Genomic DNA, 5,644 nt, shown 5'->3' on the forward strand with positions numbered 1-5,644 from the left:
GGTTTTTGCCATTACTTTTAATTGTTTTTAATTACTTTTAATGGCAAAAACTGAAATGAATTTCACACCAACCTAGGATTAATTAATTTAATTTTCTATATGTATTGCCTATTTTATACTAAAGAAATATGTAAAGACAATGTTGAAAAAATATACATGATATTCACATAATTGGTAGGGTCTGAGTTAAATATTATCCAGAATGGCATTGGCCAGGATAATTTCTTTACCAGAAAGAATAAATATAAGTTCCTTAACTGTAATATAAACTTGAATTTTCTGTTTCAGTAAATTTCTTTATATTGGCATATGATTATAGAACTTCTGTAACCTTGGCTTTACATATAACTTTTCCCCAAAATAAAACTTTATTTTTTAAGCAAATATTTTTTTCAGATGAACATCAAAAGTGAGTCCCACAACCATTTCCAGTTCTCTAGTCTCAGCCACCTGCATTTCCATCCTGCTTCATTGTAACATCTTTCAAATTAATATCTCACCATCTGCTCTTGTGCCACTCTTCTATGTTTGCTTTAAAAATACAAAATCATCTTACTTGATGATTGATCATCTTACTTCTGATTTTAAACCCTTGAATGACACCTCAGTGCTTTTCAGGTAAAGGCAAAATCCTTTCCATGTTCTGTAGGGCCGTGCCTAGTTTTCCAGTCAATGCCACAACATTCGTATTTTTTTTTATTACACTTTAAGTTCTAAGGTACATGTGCACAATGTGCAGGTTTGTTACATATGTATACATGCACCACGTTGGTGTGTTGCACCCATTAACTTGTCATTTACATTAGGTATATCTCCTAATGCTATCCCTCCCCGCTCCCCCCAGCCCATGACAGGCCCTGGTGTGTGATGTTCCCCTTCCTGTGTCCATGTGTTCTCATTGTTCAATTCCCACCTACGAGTGAGAACATGCAGTGTTTGGTTTTTTGTCCTCGTGATAGTTTGGTGAGAATGATGGTTTCCACATTCATCCATGTCCGTACAAAGGACATGAACTCATCCTTTTTTATAGCTGCATAGTATTTCATGATGTATATGTGCCACATTTTCTTAATCCAGTCTATCATTGATGGACATTTGGGTTGGTTCCAAGTCTTTGCTATTGTGAATAGTACCGCAATAAAAATATGTGTGCGTGTATCTTTATAGCAGCATGATTTATAATCCTTTGGATATATACCCAGTAATGGGATGGCTGGGTCAAATGGTATTTCTAGTTCTAGATCCTTGAGGAATAGCCACACTGTCTTCCACAATGGTTGAACTAGTTTACAGTCCCACCAACAGTGTAAAAGTGTTCCTATTTCTCCAGATCCTCTCCAGCACCTGTTATTTCCTGACTTCTTAATGATCGCCATTCTAACTGGTGTGAGATGGTATCTCATTGTGGTTTTGATTTGCATTTCTCTGATGGCCAGTGATGATGAGCAATTTTTCATGTGTCTTTTGGCTGCATAAATGTCTTCTTTTGAGAAGCATCTGTTCATATCCTTTGCCCACTTTTTGTTGGGGTTGTTTTTTTCTTGCAAATTTGTTTCAGTTCTTTGTAGATTCTGGATATTAGCCCTTTGTCAGATGAGTAGGTTGTGAAAATTTTCTCCCATTCTGTAGGTTGCCTATTCACTCTGATGGTAGTTTCTTTTGCTGTGCAGAAGTTCTTTAGTTTAATGAGATCCCATTTGCCAATTTTGGCTTTTGTGCCATTGCTTTTGGTGTTTTAGACATGAAGTCCTTGCCAATGACTATGTCCTGACTGGTATTGCCTAGGTTTTCTTCTAGGGTTTTTATGGTTTTAGGTCTAATATGTGAGTCTTTAATCCATCTTGAATTAATTTTTTATAAGGTGTAAGGAAGGGATCCAGTTTCAGCTTTCTACATATGGCTAGCCAGTTTTCCCAGCACCATTTATTAAATAGGGAATCCTTTCCCCATTGCTTGTTTTTGTCAGGTTTGTCAACGATCAGATTGTTGCAGATGTATGGTATTATTTCTGAGGGCTCTGTTCTGTTCCAATGGTCTATATATCTCTTTTGGTACCAGTACCATGCTATTTTGGTTACTGTAGCCTTGTATAGTTTGGAGTCAGGTAGCATAATGCCTCCAGCTGTGTTCTTTTGCCTTAGGATTGTCTTGGCAATGCAGGCCCATTTTTGGGTACATATGATCTTTAAAGTAGTTTTTTCCAATTCTGTGAAGAAAGTCATTGGTAGCTTGATGGGGATGGCACTGAATCTATAAATTACCTTGGGCAGTATGGTTATTTTCATGATATTGATTCTTCATATTCATGAGCATGGAATGTTTTTCCATTTGTTTGTGTCATCTTTTATTTCTTTGAGCAGTGGTTTGTAGTTCTCCTTGAAGAGGTCCTTCACATCCCTTGTAGTTTGGATTCCTAGGTATTTTATTCTCTTTGAAGCAATTGTGAATGGGAGTTCACTCATGATTTGGTTCTCTGTTTGTCTGTTATTGGTGTATAAGAATGCTTGTGATTTTTGCACATTGATTTTATATCCTGAGACTTTGCTGAAGTTGCTTATCAGCTTAAGGAGATTTTGGGCTGAGACCATGGGGTTTTCTAGATATACAATCATGTCATCTGCAAACAGGGACAATTTGACTTCCTCTTTTCCTAATTGAATACCCTTTATTTCCTTCTCCTGCCTGATTGCCCTGGCCAGAACTTCCAACACTATGTTGAATAGGAGTGGTGAGAGAGGGCATCCCTGTGTTGTGCCCGTTTTCAAAGGGAATGCTTCCAGTTTTTGCCCATTCAGTGTGATATTGGCTGTGGGTTTGTCATAAATAGCTCTTATTATTTTGAGATACTTCCCAACAATACCTAGTTTATTGAGAGTTTTTAGCATGAAGGGCTGTTGAATTTTGTCAAAGGTCTTTTCTTCATCTATTGAGATAATCATGTGGTTTTTGTCATTGGTTCTGTTTATATGCTGGATTACATTTATTGATTTGCATATGTTGAACCAGCCTTGCATCCCAGGGATGAAGCCCACTTGATAATGGTGGATAAGCTTTTTGATGTGCTGCTGGATTCGGTTTGCCAGTATTTTATTCAGGATTTTTGCATCGATGTTCATCAGGAATGTTGGTCTAAAATTCTTTTTTTGTGTGTGTGTGTCTGTGTCAGGCTTTGGTATCAGGATGATGCTGCCCTCCTAAAATGAGTTAGGGAGGATTCCCTCTTTTTCTGTTGATTGGAATGGTACCAGCTCCTCCTTGTACCTCTGGTAGAATTCAGCTGTGAATCCGTCTGGTCCTGGACTTTTTTTGGTTAGTAGGCTATTAATTATTGCCTCTATTTCAGAGTCTGTTATTGGTCTATTCAGGGATTCAACTTCTTCCTGATTTAGTCTTGGGAGGGTGTATGCGTCCAGGAATTTATCCATTTCTTCTTGATTTTCTAGATTGCCTAGAGGTGTTTATAGTATTCTCTGATGGTAGTTTGTATTTCTGTGGGATCAGTGGTGATATCCCCTTTATCATTTTTTATTGCATCTATTTGATTCTCATCTCTTTTCTTCTTTATTAGTTTTTCTAGCAGTCTATCAATTTTGTTGATCTTTTCAAAAAACCAGCTCCTAGGTTCATTGATTTTTTGAAAGGTTTTTTGTGTCTCTATCTCCTTCAGTTCTGCTCTGATCTTAGTTATTTCTTGCCTTCTGCTAGCTTTTGAATGTATTTGCTCTTGTTTCTCTAGGTCTTTTAATTGTGATGTTAGGGTGTCAATTTTAGATCTTTCCTGCTTTCTCTTGTGGGCATTTAGTGCTATAAATTTCCCTCTACACGCTGCTTTAAATGTGTCCTAGAGATTCTAGTATGTTGTGTCTTTGTTCTCATTCGTCAAAGAACATCTTTATTTCTGCCTTCATTTCGTTTTGTACCTAGTAGTCACTCAGGAGCAGGTTGTTCAGTTTCCATGTAGTTGAGTGGTTTTGAGTGAATTTCTTAATCCTGAGTTCTAGTTTGATTGCACTGTGGTCTGAGAGACAGTTTGTTATAATTTCTGTTCTTTTACATTTGCTGAGGAGTGCTTTACTTCCAACTATGTGGTAAATTTTGGAATAAGTGTGATGTGGTGGTCAGAAGAATGTATATTCTGTTGATTTGGGGTGGAGAGTTCTGTGGATGTCTATTAGGTCTGCTTGGTGCAGAGCTGAGTTCAATTCCTGGATATCCTTGTTAACTTTCTGTCTCGTTGATCTGTCTAATGTTGACAGTGGGGTGCTAAAGTCTCCCATTATTATTGTGTGGGAGTCGAAGTCTCTTTGTAGGTCCCTAATGACTTGCTTTATGAATCTGGGTGCTCCTGTATTGGGTGCATATATGTTTAGGATAGTTAACTCTTCTTGTTGAATTGATTCCTTTACCATTATGTAATGGCCTTCTTTGTCTCTTTTGATCTTTGTTGATTTAAAGTCTGTTTTATCAGAGACTAGGATTGCAACCCCTGCCTTTTTTTGATTTCCATTTGCTTGGTAGATCTTCTTCCATCCCTTTATTTTGAGCCTATTTGTGTCTCTGCACATGAGATGGGTTTCCTGAATACAGCACACTGATGGGTCTTCACTCTTTATCCAATTTGCCAGTCTGTGTCTTTTAATTGGAGCATTTAGCCCATTTACATTTAAGGTTAATATTGTTATGTGTGAATTTGATCCATAATATTGTTATATGTGAATTTGTTATGTGTGAATTATGATGTTAGCTGGTTATTTTGCTCGTTAGTTGATGCTGTTTCTTCCTATCCTCGATGGTCTTTACAATTTGGCATTTTTTTACAGTGGCTGGTACTGGTTATTCCTTTCCATGTTTAGTGCCTCCTTCAGGAGCTTTTGTAGGGCAGGCCTGGTGGTGACATTCGTATTCTTGTTCAAACTCTTCTCACTGAAGCCTTTCTGCAATTCTTGAAATTATACCACAGGGCCTTTGCACCATCCTTTTTCTGCCCAGCACACTTTACACTACGATTTGCCCTTAGTTAATGCCTACTCACACCTCAGGTCTCACCACAAATAACCACAATTTGTAAATTAGTTAATGATATTTTTGCTTCATGAGATAAAATAGCTAATTAAAAGCAACTTTTAAAAGACTACAGTTGTGTTATAATACTAGTTACTATGATTTGCTTAGCATTTTAATTAGGTGAGTCCTCTAAGTCCACAGCTCTTAGGTTCTCTGGGTTTATCTCTCAACATAACAAGATAGCTTTCACAACTTAGCATCGCATCTTTTTACAAGTCCAAAAGTTGGGGGAAAGAGCAGGGGCCACTAGGCAAAAAAAATTAGCTTCCTTTATAGTGGAGACTAAAATATTTATTTATAAAATGCCTAGTACATAACTCCTTTTACCTCATTCAATAGAATTCAACAAATGAATAAATTAAAATGCAAATGAGGTAATGAATTAATTTCTGGTAAAGAAGAATATGTGTCATTATCAAATTAGGTATTTTGTCACCCAGAACAAGTTCAAGTTCTCCTAGGAAAGAAGGAAGAAATAGTTATGGGTTGGCAAATAACCCTGTCTGCCATCATTTATCAGCATACATCTGTTTTCATAATAATTCTGTATGTCTTCCTCATGAGACTCTAAGCATTGTGA

This window comes from Homo sapiens, chromosome 12, assembly GCF_000001405.40.
Source record: "Homo sapiens chromosome 12, GRCh38.p14 Primary Assembly".
Taxonomy (NCBI): Eukaryota; Metazoa; Chordata; class Mammalia; order Primates; family Hominidae; genus Homo; species Homo sapiens.